Source organism: Homo sapiens, chromosome 6 (genome assembly GCF_000001405.40).
Source record: "Homo sapiens chromosome 6, GRCh38.p14 Primary Assembly".
Taxonomy (NCBI): Eukaryota; Metazoa; Chordata; class Mammalia; order Primates; family Hominidae; genus Homo; species Homo sapiens.
The window spans coordinates 19,165,291-19,184,385 of record NC_000006.12 but is presented as its reverse complement, the minus strand read 5'-3'; the positions used below and the strand labels follow the sequence as shown (position 1 = coordinate 19,184,385).

The following is a 19,095-nucleotide window of genomic DNA, read 5'->3' as shown; positions in this document are numbered from 1 at the left end:
ACGCCACTGCACTCCAGCCTGGGTGACAGAGTGAGACTCCGTCTCAAAAAAAAGATAGAACCAGTTAATTGGGTTTTTCTTGCATTGCTATAAAGAAATACGTGAGCCTGGGTAATTTATAAACAAAAGAGGTTTAATTGGCTCGCAGTTCTGCAGGCTGTACAAGCATGGTGCCCACATTTGCTCAACTTCTGGGGAGGCTTCAAGGAGCTTTTACTTATGGTGGAAGGCAAAGTGGGAGCAGGTACATCACATGGCCAGAGTAGGAGCAAGAGAGAGAGTAGGTGGGGGGATACCACATACTTCACTTTCTAACACAAAATCTCCTGCCTTTTAAAGCAGAAATGGTAGCAGCAGCTTCAATATAAGGGTTACATCATGAGTGGTGGGAGAGTTGTCCTAGATAGAGTGCTGGATTACATTTCAGAGTCAACATTAATTAAATAATCTTCAAAGGCTCTTGCATCCCTCACTCCCATTTCCATTTGAAAATATATATATTTCTCTAAGCCTGAGCTTTCTCTTGCCACTAATTTCCCAGCACCTATGACAGAGAGCTCAATGGTTAAATGAAAGTGAATTGTAAACCAGAATTTGGGATTCCAGGACGTCCAAGGGCATAGAAAATGGCAGAAAAGAAGGCCTGCTAGGATGAGAATTTAATTCTAGAGTCGAGGCTTGGTAGTTTTAGACTTGATGGGAGGGAAGGAGATACTATCTGGGACAGTTTATAGCCTTACAAAACGAGGACTTCACGTGGAAAGCGTCTAGGAAACAGCCGCCAGGCCTCCTGCTGTTCCCTCCTGTTGATGAGCAGAGACACTTTTCAGAGACCTCACCTTAATTTCCTGCCCAGTTGGCAGCCTTTGAATTTTTCAATAAGTTTTATGTTAAATAAAGTTGTTTTCTTCCTCTTAAAAATGACAATTTTCTCATGTATGTGTTTTTGATCTGGAAAATGCTTAGAAAGCCATTAATTATTTTATATTATATTAGTTTGAAATGAAAAACAGAAAGAAGAGGCACGCAGATCTGCTACACTGATGATGTTTTGTAGCTAATTTGATTTATTGGATAGGAAGAAATGTCAGGAAAAATCTAAAGTCTTCACTTCAGCAGATATTGTCTGATGGCTCCTATTAATCTACCACCCTTACCATTTCAGAAAATAATGCATGTTTAGGGGAAAATATATATATATGTATATATATATATGCCTTAGGAGCCTGTGGCTATCTGTGTGGCTTGGCCAAGTTGGCCCAATAGTTCAACTTCACTTGACTGTCAGGTTTCAAAAACCTATTTATTGGTGCTGTTTCTTACAGTCTTAAAAAAATTTAATTAGCTGGGCATAGTGGCACGTCCCTGTAGTCTCAGCTACTCAGGAGGCTGAGGCAGGAGAATCACTTGAACCCGGGAGGCGGAGGTTGCAGTAAGCTGAGATTGTGCCACTGCACTGCAGCCTGGCAACAGAGCAAGACTCTGTCTCAAAAAAAAGAAAAAGCAAAAAAAAAAAAAAAAAAAATTTAGTTTTCTTAATGTTTCCAATTCAGCGAATAATTTACTTGTTGACAGCTATGGGTGTGGATCAAAGAAAAAAAAGTTTTTCAGAAGGACAAAATATGACACTGAAGGAGAAATGGAAGGCGTCATTTTTGTGCCCCTTACAGTCAGCTTGACATATATGTGTTGACATCTTCCACCCAGATCTCTCTCCTTTACTCTGGATTTGTATATTAAGCCACTTACTGTACACTCCATCTGCTGCTTGCACATTTGCCTTCAACTCCATACATCCAGAATTGAATTTACTGTCTCACTAACTTACTTCTTCCTCATCTGCCTTTTCTTCCTATATTCCTTAAATGAGTGAATGGCAACACCATTTAACCAAGTGCTAAAGCTAAAAACTTGGGCAACATGTTGACTTTTGTGTTGTTCTTTCTAAACCCCAAACCATAATATGATAATTTGATATCATTTCTTGGGTACCTCCTACATGGTAGGCTCTGTAGTAGGTACCATCTCAATTAATGTTAAAAACAATCCTCTGTGCAACCTATTATTGGTCCATTTTCCAGATAAGGAAGTTGAGGCACAGAGAAGTTAAATAGCATGCTCATGGTGACACAGGCAATAAGTGGCAGAGCCATATGCACTACTTTCAGCTTCCTCAACGTATCTCAAGTGGTTGCCTAGAAGTTTTCTTCTCTGTTTGACTTACTTTTTTTTTTTTTTTTTTTTGAGATGGAGTTTCACTCTTGTTGCCCAGGCTGGAGTGCAATGGCACAATATCAGCTCACTGCAACCTCCGCCTCTGGGGTTCAAGTGATTCTCCTGCCTCAGCCTCCTGAGTAGCTGGGATTATAGGCATGTGCCATCACGCCAGACTAATTTTGTATTTTTAGTAGAGACAGGGTTTCTCCATGTTGGTCAGACTGGTCTTGAACTCCTGACCTCAGGTGATCCACCTGCCTCAGCCTCCCAAAGTGCTGGGATTACAGGCATGAGGCACCACGCACAGTCGACTTACTGTTTCTCATCTTTCCGATGGGACTCAACTTAAAATGTACTTCTTCCAGGATCTCGGTCTTCCAAGTCTGGTCTGGATACCTTCCCCATCCCCAGCCCCTACATCTCATCCCCATGATCATCCTTGTCACACTCTATTTTAGCTTTGTTTAATTGTTGGCATCCACCATTATACTGTGAGTCTTGTAAGAATGAAGACTGAGCTATTTCCCTTACCATTAAATCCCTAGGCCATAGCATATAGCCCATGCTAAGTATTGGTTTAGTGAATGAATGTGAGAGTGGAAGACTAAGAAACATAAATTCTGTTGATTTCTAAATTACTGCCTATGGCCAGCCCTTTGATAGTTTCCTTTTTCTAGAACTCTTCTGTATCCTCAGAGCTGTTCCGTCTTAGCTCTCATGCATTCAACTCATTGCCAGGTTCTGGAGGCTGCTGACTTGCAGAGAGCAAATCCAAGTATTTACCAAGTTTGTTTAACAAAGCAGAATGTTTTGCTTTTTTATGTTCTATCATAAAATCTTGGAAGAGACATGACTTTCTTGTTTATCCTTTCTTCATGGTGTCATTTTATAGGATTATATAGTGTCAATGTTCAAATGGAACTTAGAAACCATTTGATTAAATCCCTCAGAGGAAAGAGAATCCCAGAAAGATATGGCAATTTACCCAAAATGCTGTTGCTAGCAAACAGTAGCCTATTTCTACTTTATTTACTCAGCTTCTCACTATTATTTTGCCTTTTGGGGGTCAGGTTGATCTCCAGCCAGGTTGGGTGGGTGGCTATACCTGAGAGCCTGGGCTCTACCGACTTGTCTCTGGAGGCACTCAAGAGGGCTCAGTGCTATGCCTCACTTCTTCAAGGTCATCCAAGACTGATTGTAAGGCAGTCTTGTTATCTGGTGTTGTAACCTCAGAGCAGCCTGCAGCATGACCAGTCACACACTGAACAGAACAACAGCCAATTCTGTCACCCGTCCAAGGATTTGTAGCTCAGCCACGACATCTGGGGAAAGTGTTTACAGAGTCCAGAGCTGGACTCACTGAAACCATGTACTCACATCTGGAGTCTAGACAGCGTGGCTCTCTCATCTGGGCTCACAGCCTTTTCACACCTCCTGCGCTTCTCTCTGACTCCTTCTTTATCCCGTTTTTCACTTTGCCAAAGCTTGTTCCCTCCCGCCATGTGCCTCTGTCTCGATTGTTTTCTTCTTTCATTTTTTTTTCTTTTTTCAAATCACATTGGGCTTAAGCTTTTCCAGATACTCCTGACAAACTTCTTAGAAACAGGTTTTCCCAACAATGAGGAGATTGTAGAGGCATGACGTCATCGTAGACAATGTCCTAGCAACGTTCTGATACAACGTTTTCTACTAACCAGCTGCATGACCTTAAAAAAGATATATCACTGGGGCTTTATTTTTCTTACCTTTAAAATGAAAAAGTTAGACTACATTTGGCGTAGTCCAAAAGTATGTTTTTTTAAAAAAGCAACAAAATCCTTTCTTCAAACAAAATTGTATAAGGAACATCAATATGGGGGAAAAATGAAGAAAAGCTTTTCTGATTAACATGCGGGAGGGGGCAGAATAACTTTTTCACCTTCAAGAATCCCTAATGAATGCTGGGAGCAATAGAGCTCCTGGCATGCACAACTGGAAAATCTTTGGCCTGGATGATCTTTGAAGTCTTTTCTATTTGGTAGGTATGGCTGAAACAATAATGCTTATCATCTATACTCTTTGTACCCTACATTCCTCAGCACCTTGCAGCTAGGTTTTGCAATGTAAATAGTTCTGGCCAATGTGGGCAGACATGATTTGTCATTATTGAATTGAGACAGTGAAAACTCATGTGATTCTTGTAAGATACAATAAATCTTTCTGAGTTTATATTCAAAGAGTTTAGCCAGTTAACTTCCTTATCCTTTGTTCTCAAACTCAACTTTCTTATTCTTCCTTGCCCCTAGTTACCATAAACAGCCTACCCGCTTCCCATCAGCTCTAATCAATAACTCACATCTGTTCCCTTGGTTACCTGTACCCATTGTTCCCCCGAAACTGCATGTCTCACATGCACCACCTCTGTACCTCACGTCCCCCTTCCCTTCTATATTTAGGAAAATATGTACAAGTAGCCAATCGGGTCAGCTCAGATTGTGCGGTCCAACCCCAGCCCATGGGGGAGTCACACAGAGATAGGGACTGCATTAAGGATAAAAAACCCCTGGTCTTCTTTGTTCTCTGTGCTCTTGCAATCTTGATTAATGCAGGTAGCACCCTTCTGCAGAAGTAAATTGCCTTGCTGAGAGAATTAAACTTTTGCCTGAGTGCTGGTTTTACTTTGTGTCACTGAGCATTTATTCCTAGAGCATTTTTATATCCAACATTCTTCATACTTCTTTCCCTTACTGCGGTGACAAAAGAGGCTGCCTCTTGCATGAGGTGTAGCTATGAGAAGATGAACTCTCTGTTAGCCTGGGTCCTTGAATGACAATGTGGAGCAGAGATGTTTATGGTGCCACTATGTAGACATACAGTATGATTGAAAAATAACCCTTTGTTGTGGGTAAGGCATTGGGATTTGGAGATTAATTTGCATGCTGAAATGAAGCCAGCCTATGTTGACTAAGGAGAAAGGTAAGAAGAATAAAATTAGGAGAACAAGATCGAACTTTCCTTCAAGTTAGGGCTTATTGAGCCATCTGTGCATTGTGGAACTATCTCTTTCTACTGGGTTATATGATTAGACAAACCAGACATTTCCCATACTGGTTTATTTAAATGAAATTCAATCAAAAAAGAGTCTCCTGAATAATAAATAGAAATGCTTTGAATATAATTCTTCAAATCTATAAAACAATTTTTAAACAAAATCCTTTCCCCAAGTAGGGGTCCATACATTTCTACAGAATCCTATACCTTGGAGATAGAATGTTAGAGCTATCAGGGCATCTTTGGAGAAGAGGGCATCAGAACAGGCTGGAGCAGAGGCTGCTTTCATATTGTAACGCAGGACTTCCTTCCTGAGGGTTTTCTGTGTTTCTTCCCACAAGGGCACTGTGCTAACTGAGGATCATTATTAGTAGGTACAAATACTCCAGCTCCTACCTGGGGATTAGTGGGAAGTAGAGGTAACTCTGAGTCGCATATTCTACAATGAATCCTGCAGGATTAAGCTCCAGTTACTCAAAGGGTTAATTGGCATATAACTGGCTGCCTTTCTTTTCCTGTTCCACTCCCTTTTTCCTTACTGTTTCCCACCGCCCCCCCTCCCCCGTGGTATCACATATCAATAAACCACTGCACATGAACCCTTATCCCATGATTTTGAGGGAACCCAAACCAAGACAAAAGCCATTTAGCCCAGTCATTCTGTCTTCCATAGGTCCAACCAGTCTCCTCCAGGAAATTTCTAAATGACATGAATTCATTGGATAAGTGATAATATCAGGTACTTGGATGGGCTTTTTTTAATGGACATCACAAAAGAGTTGAGAGTTTCTAATCAGTATTCAATTAAATCCACTATGGAATTGTAGCAGTGCCTCCTACTGGGTTTTGCTGTTAAGAGATTGCTAAAACTCATCTCCCACTTATTAAAACAAAAGTCTTAAACGAATGCATCTTGTTTTTATGCTGAATCTCCCATTTCCATTTGTTCACAAGTGCAAGAGTATTGTCACATGACCATTGCCCCTAAGGTATTCCTGGTTTATTGGGTAAAGGTTGATCAATGTTCTTGGGAGAGTGTTGGACTGTAGAACAGAAAATGCTAATGGATACAAAGAAAAGAGATTGGTGCTTCAAGGGGTGTAATGTCAAATACATTTGTGTATTGGAAGCATTTGAGGGAGTGAAATGGGAGAAATGATGCTGATGATCTCAGACTATAATATCTGATTTCAGGAGCGGCACAGCAAAAAGAACAAATTACAAGGTATGGCCACAGAAGGAAGTGGCTAAAACGAAGTGAGAACTATGGAGGAAAGATGGCAGAGAAGTATATAGCCTTCAGAGTAGGGTTGTATTTCTAATCCCTGTTAGTAATGAACTTCATGTTTCTAAATGTGCACTTAGTCTTTATATTTATTGATTTCTCAAAAAAATGTTACCACTCTCTCTTTTCTTTTCTTTTTTTTTCTGCCAATACACCCACTCCTCATCTTGGCTCCTTGTCTCCATAACTTTAGGAGTCTCATTTCCCTCTTTTCTCTTCTCATATTCTTTGCAAATATCTCTTTTTAAAATGTTGGTGCTCCATGGGTGTAAGTCCTACATTCTCAGTAGTTCTCGGTCAGCCTTTTTCTCTGGATGATTATATCTATTCTCATGGTATTAATTCCCATCTGTATGCTGACAAGTCCCAAACCAATATCTCTAGCCCAGACTTATTTTCTGAGCTCCTTCAGTTGGATACCTCAGGGGCACCTCAAACTCAATGTGTTCGAAGCAGAATTTTTCACAACTCCAACCTCCCACCTAAAACCCACAAAACACTTTCTATTTGACTTTTCTCTATCTTAATAAATGGCAACACTGGGATCCAAGCTTAATGAAGCCAGAGACTTTTATATGTTTTGTCTACTGAAATATCCCCCATAGAATGGTGCCTAAAAAAAGTATTTATTAAAAACTATTTGAATGAATGAATGCTTGACTCTTCCATCCTCTATAAAATCAACTAAAAAGTCCAGTTTAGCTCTGGCTGCTTAGTTGCTTGCCAAATTTCTGTCCACCTCATCACAGTGCAAAAATATAGGAGAAGTCCAATAATAGGAGATAAGTTTATCACATCATTATTAGTAGCAACTAAATTTCATATTGATATATATGACTTTAGATTAGGGAATAATTCATACTCTGTGACTGAAAAATGTAAATATTATGGAAAAGGGAATAATATATAATAGTGCATTTTTCAAAGGAGCATTGACTATTTCAAATATAGGATATTTTTAGTACATACATATATAACTATATATATGTTTAATGTACAAAGAAGTGACTAGAAAAAATATAGCAAAATATTAATACTGATTTTCCTTAGAATAATGGTTTTTTAAAAAATTTTTTTCTTTATACGCTTGGCTCTTTACCAAGTTGTCTACAAATATGCATGCTTCACTTTTATAACCAGAAAAAAAATCAAAATATTTATATGTAATAAAATCAAGGTTAAGCATTTGGTTCTTGTCCTTTTTTGGGGTGGGGTGGGCTGGGGACAGGATCTCACACTGTCACCCAGGCTGAAGTGCAGTAGCATGATTATGGCTCACTGCAGCCTTGACCTCCCCGGGCTCAAGTGAACCTCCTACCTCAGCCTCCCGAGTAGCTGGGACTACAGGTATGTGCCACCATGCCTGGCTAATTTTTTGTATTTTTTATAGAAATGGAGTTTTACCATATTGCCCAGGCTGGTCTTGAACTCCTGGGGTCAAGCAATCTGTCTGCCTCAGCCTCCCAAAGTGTTGGGGTTAAAAACATGAGCCACTGCATCCAGCCTCTCTTTTTTTCATATTTTAAATTTTTTCACAGTTTTATTATTCAGTTAATTTTACTGAAAATATTTTCTTTTGATTTCTAATAATGAAGTCAAATGTTTATTTTTTAATAGAACTGCAAAAAAAAATAAAATGGGTTTATGTCCTGTGTCTCATTATTTTTTAAGTACTAATATACAATGGAATATAACATTCTTTTTATTTTATGTAACTACTTACAAAAGATCTGGGCCCTAGAGGCTTCTGTAAAGAATACAGAGTCAATAGAACAATATTGTTTTTTATATTAATGAAGGTATGGGTAAAATACCCTCATCCGGAGTTTTAATTGCCATTTATAAGCTTTATGGTTCTTCGGCAAGTAAATCTATAAATTGCAAAGCAGTAGTACCCATCACAATAAGAACACATTTCTCTCTCTCCACAGATATAGAAATATGACTAAATGTGCTATTATGAATGAGGATTGTTATATACATATAACCTGCTCCGAGAAAGGACTTTTTGAAAGAGAAAGGTAAAAACATGATTATGAAAAATTTAGAAAGATTATAAATATTCCTATGTCTACAAAATATGAGTGTCCATAGCATCTTTAAATGTGACCCATGTTAAACATACATTTTGTTGTGAACTGAGAAAAGTTTATATCGTCATTTCAAATAGCTTGGATTTTAGAGAAGAACAGCACCTAGGAAGCAAAAGACCATCCTTTGTTTCATCAGGGTTCAATATTAATTCAAAAAAGTGAATGGATTCCTTTCTTGTTCTCTTCCCCAACCACCTACCAATTTAGCTATATATCTCAAGCAAGCAGAGTTTTACATAAGCCTGTTCATTGCTTCCATCATGCTTTCCAACAAACATTCAATCACTCTCCTCTCCTATTTTGGGATAAGCAGTTGTGAAATTTTGCTGAAAATTTCTTACTGTGCCTTTGAGATTAATTCCCTCTGTTAACTGAATACGGATGGAAATAATTAACCTTCCACTCGGTTTTAATAGAAAAAAAAGTAGAATTTCAGTAGCACTAACTTACTTTATAGGCTATTACTTCTATTGTCTCCATCCCATCTCTTCCCACATGTGACCATCTGGTTGGCTGAATGCAGCTGTTCATTTATGTCATTTGCGTGACTACAGGTCCAAAGAGCATAATAGGAGGTGAAGGAAATCATGCACATGTGGGAAGGGGAGAGCTGAGTTATGGATCCCAGGAGTTCTCATTTTGGATAATTTCAGAAAATGCATAGCATATCACTGCTGGGTGATGTGATTGTTAAATTGTTGTTCTGGCCTCAGAAATAGAGCCTGGGTGCAGCTATTGGTGTTTGGGAAAAGAAACATGTTTATGGTATTATATGTTCAAATGACAAGTGAGATTTAATATGCAGGAATACAATATCTCCTGCCTTTACTGCCCACCTACTCTGACCATGGGAAATGAAATGTATACAATATGGTGCTCGACGTTGAGCATCAGGTACATAATCCCACCTTCTAGGGACTCTTAAGAATGTCTCTGCCCTGATTTTTTTTTTTTTTTGAGATTGAGTCTCGCTCTGTCACCCAGACTGGAGTGCAATGGCGTGATCTCAGCTCACTGCAACCTCCCCCTCCAGGGTTCAAGCCATTCTTCTGCCTCAGCCTCCCAAGTAGCTGGGACTACAGGCATGTGCCACCATGCCCGACTAATTTTTGTATTTTTAGTAGAGACAGGGTTGTACCCCATGTTGGCCAGGCTGGTCTCAAACTCCTGATCTCAAGTGATCTGCCTTCCTCAGCCTCCCAGAGTGCTGGGATTACAGGTGTGAGCCACTGCGCCTGGCCTGCCTGTCATTCTATACCATAAGGACAGACTCTGGAGTTCAAACCCAGAAATCTGTGTTTTAACAAACTCTTCAGAAAATTCTGACACATACTCAAGTTTGAGAACCACTGGCAAAATCCTTCAGCCATTTATTCCAGGTGATGTTTCTTTCTACTATTTTAGATCCAACTATGTTGTTTTTTGATATGTGTTGTTTTTACTCTTTCATTCCTTTTTTTTTTCCAGGTATCCAACGATTTTTATTGGACAATTGAATTATTTCTAACAATTGTTTTTCTACCCTGAATAACCTCCCCCCTTGAACTTTTTTCCAGGGGTGGGGATCACTTATTTTTATATTTTTTTCATTGATATATTATATTATAGTTGTACATCTTTTTGGATATATGTGGTATTTTGATATCTGTATACAATGTGCAATGATCAATTCAGGGTAATTGGGGCATCTATCACCTCAAGCATTTATCTTTTTTTTCGGTTGAGAACGTTGCAATATTTATTTTCTAGCTATTTTGAAACATACATTAAATTATAAACTATAATTGTTCTATTGTAGTATCAAATACTAGAATTTGCTCTTTTCATTTAACTTTGTTTGACCTTTTAATCTATTTTAAACATCCCTTACATCATGGCCTCTTACTTCAACCCCCTAGAAACTCCCCAGTGTCAATTGGATAAAGTCCAATTGTCCTGTCCTGTTCTATAACACTCCACATGGTACAAGCTTCTGAAAGTAACTTATGAACTTATTTTTTTTCTTTCTTCACAATTTAATTCTCTGGTGAAATTTGTTTTCTTAATGTCTATACCATTCCTTGCACATATTTTTCATCTATGCTTTTGTTTATCCTCTTCTTCCAGGTCTAGATCATTCTTTTTTTAACCCTTCTTGTGTTTTCTTTTCTTTCTTTTTTTTTTTTTTTTTTTTTTTTTTGAGACAGAGTTTCGCTCTGTCGCCCAGGCTGGAGTGCAGTGGCGCCATCTCGGCTCACTGCAAGCTCCGCCTCCCAGGTTCACGCCATTCTCCTGCCTCAGCCTCCCGAGTAGCAAGTAGCTGGGACTACAGGCGGCTGGGACTACAGGCGCCTGCCACCATGCCCGGCTAATTTTTTTTTGTATTTTATTAGAGACGGGGTTTCACCGTGTTAGCTAGGATGGTCTCGATCTCCTGACCTCGTGATCCGCCTGCCTTGGCCTCCCAAAGTGCTGGGATTACAGGCGTGAGCCACTGCGCCTGGCCCCTTCTTGTATTTTCAAATCCCAATCACTTCTCAGTTTTCACTTCTTTCAGGAAGACTTTCCCATCACCTCATGTACTTACTTACTTACTCATATACTTACTTACTGTTCATTCCTCTCCTCTGACCACTACGTGTACCCTATCTTGTATTATGTCCCCAGGGACAAAAAAATTTGATTTGGACATCTTTGTGTCTTTTCATCCAATAGCTTATAAGGCAGACTGAAGTGTTCATAAACTGTAGTGGTCTTTGAATAATAACTCCAAAGTTTTGAAAAATAGGTAGAATGCTTATCTTCAGTGAAGCTGTTATTTAGATTTGACATATTAGTATTTACATCTTGGTCACGATTCACTATCCTAACTGGAAATTACTCTGGTGTTTTGGGATGAAGGTAACTGTGCAATGAGAGGTCATTCTTCTGTAGAAGCAGAGGAGCTCCGATGGCCAGTGGCAGTGAATAGCTCTGAGGATGGAATTATTGAACCAAGATAAGGAAAACTGGCACTGGCTTCAGTTTCTTTCAGTGTCAGAGAGTTGCAAGTCTTCTAGTGTCACAAAGATAATGTTCTGGTTTTCTGTCAGTGATACAAAAAGAACAAGGTGGGGATGTGGGAGGAGGAAGAAAATCCATCTCTCTGCTTGCCTTTGCTACTACAGCAGAAAAGTATTTTGGAAAATGAGAAAATTACATCAACTATGTAAGTCAAATGATAAACAAAGTCCTTGTTGTAAATTCCAGATAAAGTTCTGATTTGCTATATGAGGTTGGTCAAGTAACGTTATGCTCTGATACTCAGAGACTTCATCTCTCAAATGAAGATTCGAATCCCTTTTCCTTGGGATTGTAAAAATTCAAGGAGATAATGGCTGTTCCTGGATCAGAAGTTGGTCAATTAAATCCTTGCCATTCTGGGGCTAGTACTGGGACAAGGTGTGAAGTGTGGGGTGTTCATCGTACCAAGGAAAATGACTGCCTTTATTTCCTATGTCCTGCATCCCCCTTCTACTATTGGAGCTTTCAGGCCCAAAGGAACTATGAAGAGAAGAAAGTCAAATGCTCAAGCAGATATGAGGGAAATAGCATGGCTATACCTTTATTAGGAAAAATAGATGTTATCCTTGGGTTTCCCTGGATACAGAAATATAAACGTCCATTTACTTGTGGAAACTATGCTTGCATAGTATCTCTAGATTTCCCGAGTTCCTGCCATGTGCCAGGCAACATGCTAGATGCACTCACATAGATCACTTCAACCGGGTCACAGCTCCATGATGTAAGTAGCCCAAAGAAGAAGAAAAATTCAAAGAAGGATATGTTGATTTCCCAATGACCAGATAGAGAGATTTTTTACTCCGAAGATGTTGTTCTTTCTACTCTCCGAGGACGCCATTCTGAAGCCAGCATGATCTAAGAAGCCACACAGAAGAGGAGGTAAACTTATACTAACTATAAAAGTTTTGATCCAAGTGGCAGCTGCATTATTAAAGCCCCTGAGTTCCCTATTTTACTTGGGATAATCTACACAAAGCCATATCAGTTAAGAATATTGAAGGGTGGAAATGAATAAGAATGTAGCATGTCCATGCCTAGCATAAAGCTGCATACAATTTTTAAGTAATGGAGCATCCACTCCCATCTGATCTAGATTCAAGACTCACTGGCACAGATTTATCAGTCTCACAAAACACTGGTTATTTTGTGCCTTCACTACTCCATTAGGTGTGCAGTTGTCTTGGGGCATCAGAGGTGAGTCCTTAAATAGTGGTTGGTCAACTAACAGGGAAGCATGAGAATGAGTATGAGACAGGTTCCCTACTCCATGCACTGGTCCTAAGCACTTAACATGGAGTCCCTCCTGCATGCTTCATTTGGTTCACGGACTCCAGCATGACTCTGACCTTAGAACGTCATCAGATATCCTGAACCATTTATTTGTTCTTTTTCCTGCCTTGTCCTCATGGTCCTGCCAACCCTTGATATTTGTTTAAGGTTCTCATTAAAAGACATCCTTCATGCCTTTTCTCCTGCAAAGGAGCAGATTATCCTTTCTAGAAGAGATTGATGGCCTATTTTAGAAAGACCCAGTTGCTAGAAATATAGAGTGAGTTCTTTGTCCAGCTTGGAGAACAGGTGGGGCAAATCCCTGTTATTTGCTGTTGATGTTTCACCCCTCAAAAGCCTAACAAAAAGGTTTCTTGCTATAGCAATGAAAAATAAAATACAAGTGAAATTCTCAAGGCACTCCATAAGATAAGCCTTTGGCAGCATTCCCTCCTAAATTTATATTTCAACAGAGGTTATTTTTCCATATTAAAATGAACACAGGGAAATTATGAGAAGGAAGAGGAGAGGAAAAGATGGAAGAATTAGTAAAATGAATCCAAAAGGAGAAATTTACATCTCAGATTAGCAGTATATCTCTGAAATTTTGTTCTGTCAGTGCATAATTTATCTGTGCACTAATGAAGGTAAATACTTGCTACTCTAATCCTAAAATCTCAGTGTTTTAACATAGTAAAAGCAAATTTTTCCAACACATTAGCATCTCATGCATATCAGCCTTTGGAGGCTAGTAGAGGGGCTGTACTCTGTTTCACACAGTCATTTGGGAACCTAGCTCTAGCTTGTAGCTTGCCATCTTTAAGAACTCCGGTTCTCCAATTATATTCTTTGCTTTGGGCAAAATGAAAGAAAAGCACAAGTGGAGACTATTTCAGGAAGCTTCTAGGGGTCAGGACTAAAAGGGGCATACTTTCTCCAACATTCCACGGGTCAAAATTCAGACACATGGCTTCATCTGTCTGTAATGGAAGCTATAAATACAGCTGAGTTGTGTAAACACGAATTTTAAGAAGCAGGATTTGGAGAAAACCAGCATTGTTTGATAACAATTTGGGACCAGAGCTAGGAATGGCTTTCCCCACTAGTAGTATTTCTGGCTAAGAGAGGAGTGTCCAACCAAGCTTTGGGAGTCTCTTGTTAGCCTTTTTAAACATTTAAACTGCATGTGGTAAAAGTAAATTTGACCTTCTTTTGTACTGTGTACAAATTCACAAAATATACTAGTAATTAATTTTTTGAATGTAGGTGAAGAGGTTTTATGTACTAGTTTAAATTTTAAATTGATGCTGCCATGAAAACATTTCATAGGTGTCTGTATTTCTGCTGGCTTAAAATTTAAAATATATTTAAAAAATTATAATCTGTAATGTACCTGAAATAAAATTTTGAGCAGAAAATAACCCCAAAATTGGCGTGTTATTTTCTTCCAAAAGCTTTCCCTTAAGTAGAAATAGAAAGGGTTGCTGAAGGATTAGCATGGCAAGTAAAAAAAATTCTTTCAGCAAAACATACATTCTTCTATTAAAACACACATAATGGCACATACTTAATAATTGATTATAGATCAACATTTGGGTAATAGAGTTGTTGTAATTTCCCCACACTCCTCTATGTTGCCATTACAATGCACTGAAATAAAAAACATTATTAACACCAAGATAAATTACATGTGCATAGAGATATATAAGTCAGAGTTTAACTAGAAAAATACAAACCAGTTCCGGTACCTACACTTAGAGAATTGGTTATACAGGTGATGGAGGAATTTAAAATGCAAATAAGACACAATAGAGTAATCTAAGATATTTAAACAGCAGGAAACCACTCCTAGTATGAGGCTGGAGAGATAAAGGAAGGAGGTAGTGTTCCCTGGCATAGGGGCTGGGGTTACTGAGTGGAAGCCGGAAGCATAGCAGACGTGTCCTGCTGGAAGTGGCAATGCGGAGATTATGAAGGTGCTGGATATGAAAGATATGAAGGAGCTGGCCCTGTAGAGAGTACAAAACCAGTGTCTAAAAGTCTGCTGGCAGAGAAGAAGAGAAAGAAATACTGGGTTTCTTCGCTCCTTACCCCTCACCTCCCACAAGCTTCTGCCTGTGTCTACCATTGACCAAACACAGCCAAAGTGTGGCTGATAGAAAGGAAAATCCTTGGTACCTGCTCTTCCTCTGATAACACAGAAGAACAGAGAGTAAAGAGCAATGCCTCCGAAACAAGTACACCCAGGATCATCAAATGCAATGAATGCACCAAGGCAGATCATCATATGTGCTTTATATTCACCATTGATTTCTCTTATTCAGAGCAAATGAATGATGGCCTCTCTCCATGTAGCTTCTTCGAGAGTACCTACAAGTTCAGAATAATTCCAAAGCCTTCGAGTCATGTCTTTGAGTAAAACTAATGTTTGGTTTTAATAAATTGCTACCTAAGTTTCCAAAACACATGTTGGAAGTTTGACTTTTAGAATTGTGTTCTTGCTAGAAAAAAATTTAAAAAAAAACTAAAATAGTTGGGAAAATGCATCTAGAATTCACACCTAGAAGATCCTCTCCAAAAATATCCAAGAGATGAACATAGGAAGGAGATTGTGTACCTTGAGAATCTGAGTGGCAAATACTTTAAACTAAATGTCAAACTGACAGAACAGGTTGATAAACCCTGGGAATTCATTCCCCAGTCAACAAGCAAGAATTACACAAATAAATTCCCACACTTCCTACACTTCTCTAAAAATCTATAACCTTTCTTAGGAGTTAGTTCAAAATAATGTAAATAACCTCAAATATAAATAATTTGAGACACGCTGCTTTTTGAAAGGTGATAGAAATGAAACTAAAGTAGCAGAAATAAAAAGAGTTGGGCACAGGGAGAATCTCAGGGCAGTAATGAAAATGGCATATTTTCAACCCAGTAGTGCTAAACCTTATTAAAGAAATGTCTGGAAACATGTAAAATGCTTTAATCGTCCATAAAAATAATGAGAGTTCCAACAACTTTAGCCGAATGGATGTCACCAGAACTCTCTAAGGCTGGTGTCTAACGTGTATTTTGTCTGTGAAAAGCTATTATTATTTTTTTTTTTCAGAATGAATTACAGTCTAATAGAAAGAGCCAGAATTATGTAGCCCAAACAACCTAATATGAGGCTGACTTAGGTATCTACTAAATGTATGGCCTTGGAACAAAGCATTTTATCACAAGAACCCTCAGTGATTTCTTGAGTGAAAAGGAGATATTACTTCTCTTATGGTTTGTGATAGGAATTAGCAATAATGTTGTTAATGTTGGTTGTGATTATTATCTTATTTGAGCATTTGTGCATAACACAAATTGACAAGGTAGCTTCCTTTAATATTATCACTTTTCTCTTCTCATCAAGAAAGAGATTATAACTTCTTGGAGACTCCTTAAAAATGCAAACATCCTTGAGAGGAGTTACTTCTTTAAATAGTATCTGTGAATATGGTGGTTATTTTTAATACCCTTGCAAAGCTCAGTTGACAGTCACCAAAGAGCAAAATTGGGGCAGGTAGTTGGGTGGAAGGAGGACTTACAGAAAGCTTTAATTCACATTGAACATGAAATTGAGTACCTTGTTTTTGGATCCAGCTGACGATCAAGAGAAGCTCACTGTTTTACATATTAGCCTCTAACTCTGTTCTTCCTTTAGACCTAATTGAAATGCTTGTCAAAAATGCCGGCAACTAGACACCATGCCTAGGATGTTAGAGCCCAGGAATCTGTATATTTATTAGGCAAGACAATTGACTCTGATTTATGTAGCCTGAAACCTCACTTTGAAAAATCACTGCTTTACAGAAAATATGAGAAGTTGCCAGGGAGGAGGGATTGAGAGTGGTGAGTGGTCATCCCACACAGACTGCAGCTCCTTAAAAGTTTTCCTAAGCTTCTTGATTCTGCCTTATTTTGTTGCCAAACAAACAAGAATAGGCTGAGAGTAACCCAGAGGGTTTTATGGCTTGATGCCATAGCTTTGAGTTCAGGAAATCCTTTAAATGCCAGACCCTGTTGTTGAGGAGAGGGGAGTGGTATCTATGATTACGTATTTAGAATTGCATTTTGGCATGATTAAAAAAAATAGTCGTTGCAAAGTATAGTGAATTTATCAATGCAGGTAGAGGGCCAAGAACCCACATTACCAGGGAATGGACAGTCCTCATTCTGGCAGAGATGGAGGGTGGGCAGAGTAGTATGACCCTGACTCACATTTCAGAATAGTAATTGTGCTTCTCCTTTGCCACTTGACCTTGACCTTTTCTTGCCATGTTTTATTTTCTGTCTTCTGTCCACTATGTTTTCTACTCACCACATCTACCACCCTTTCTTCTTACTCATCAATGATTTGAGGTGGCCTGTGGCTAAAAAGGGCACTCGCCTACCCTATATATCCCAGCCCAAATGTTAAAGAAGTGACTTACTCCCAGGTTCTATAACGATTCTATAATGAGTAATAATGACAAAAATCATCATTGCTTTATTAATACTCCTGCCACTACTAGGAATATAAAAAGTAAATGCAAAGGTATGCAAGAAAAATGAAAATTAATTTTTAAAAATATTCTTATGGTTATCTATGTTATTTCCATTAAAAATACTTTAAAAACATATAGTTTCATTGTTACAACAGTATTTTTCAGGGCCAAGATGATGAACCATCAGTAAATTCATTCCAGATTCAAAAGGAGAACCCACTAGTAGTTTGCTCCTCCTCCTGTAACATCTTACTGTGACAGAAATAAACTCAAATTGCCAAATCGCAGAGTAAATATGCAAGCTTCCTTTGCTGGTAGAAGTCTGTGAAATGTGTTCCTCGGGCTCTTTGGATTTCTGAACATGAAATTGAGTACCTTGTTCTTGGATCCAGCTGACGATCAAGAGAAGCTCACTGTTTTACATCCTTTAGACCTAGGTGATTTATGAAGCTGATAGCAGAACTTTAGAATGAGGAAAGGGCCAAGGCTGAAGTCTTTATTTAATCTGATTTCATGGAAAGTCCCCTTTTTCTTTTGGATCATAGGTGCTGTGAAGTATAAAACTTGAGCTGTATGTCAGTTTCAGTTGAGGCAGTTTAATAATTTTACATACCATGATCAGTTTCACAACTGATTCTCTTCCTTGTTCCAAATCTGGAGAAATGATAAATTTACTGACTCTGGATCTCAGTAAATAAGAAGCAAATATAGAAAATACACCCTGAGGCATGGACTCTTCTATTAAATATATGATACTATTTGTTAAAATCCTTAAATATGGCTATTGATTTTTAAAAATTAATTGCCTTTTTTAAGAACAAATTTAGATTTACAGAAAAATTTAGATTATAGTACAGAGAGTTCCCATATTCCGTCCCCTCTCCTGCACACAGTTTCCACAGTTAACATCTTGCTTTGGAGCAGTGTATTTGTTACAATTTGTAAACCAGTATTAATACATTATTATTAACTGAAGTCTACAGTTTATTGTAAGGTTTACTCTGTGTTTTACAGTTCTATGAGTTTTGACAAATGCATAAAGACATGCATCCACTATTACAGTATCATACAGAACAGCTTATCACCCTAAAAATCTATCGTATGTCACCTACTCATTCCTCTCCACTTCCCTCTTCCTGTTTCCCTCCTGGCAACCACTGATCTTTTCATTATTCCAGAGTTTTGGCTTTTCCAGAATATCAGGCAGTTGGAATCATATAGTATGCAGTCTTTTTTGACTGGCTTATTTCATTTAGTAATGTGTATTTAAGTTTCCTCCCTGTCTTCTCATGGCCTTTTCATTTTTCACTGACTATTTTATTGTATGGATGTACCACAGTTTATTTATTTATTTTTCTACTGAAGAACATCTTAAATGCTTACAGTATTTGGAGACTACTCATAAAACTACTATAAACATTTATGAGCAGGTTCTTTTTTTTTTTTTTTGGACATAAGTTTTCAGCTTGAGTAAATCCTTGGAAGCGTAACTGCTGGATTGTATAGTAAGACTATGTAAGCTTTGTAGAAAGCTGCCAAACTGTCTTCCAAGGTGGCTCTACCATTTTTCATTCCTGCCAGCAATAAATGAGAGTTTCTGTTGTTTCACAACTTCACCATCATTTGGTGGTGGTGTTTTTGG

At 38.4% G+C, this 19,095-nt stretch overlaps 1 long non-coding RNA gene across 1 annotated transcript in view; it reads left to right on the top strand.

Moving 5' to 3' along the window:
- The first annotated feature begins 3,905 nt into the window (after positions 1-3,905).
- LOC101928519 (uncharacterized) overlaps positions 3,906-19,095 on the top strand; it is a 111,938-nt gene continuing 96,748 nt past the window's right edge. The window contains exons 1-3 of the long non-coding RNA NR_110860.1: positions 3,906-4,234; positions 5,921-5,986; positions 8,464-8,553. This is a non-coding gene — a long non-coding RNA (uncharacterized LOC101928519). The remainder of the gene's footprint in view (positions 4,235-5,920; positions 5,987-8,463; positions 8,554-19,095) is intronic.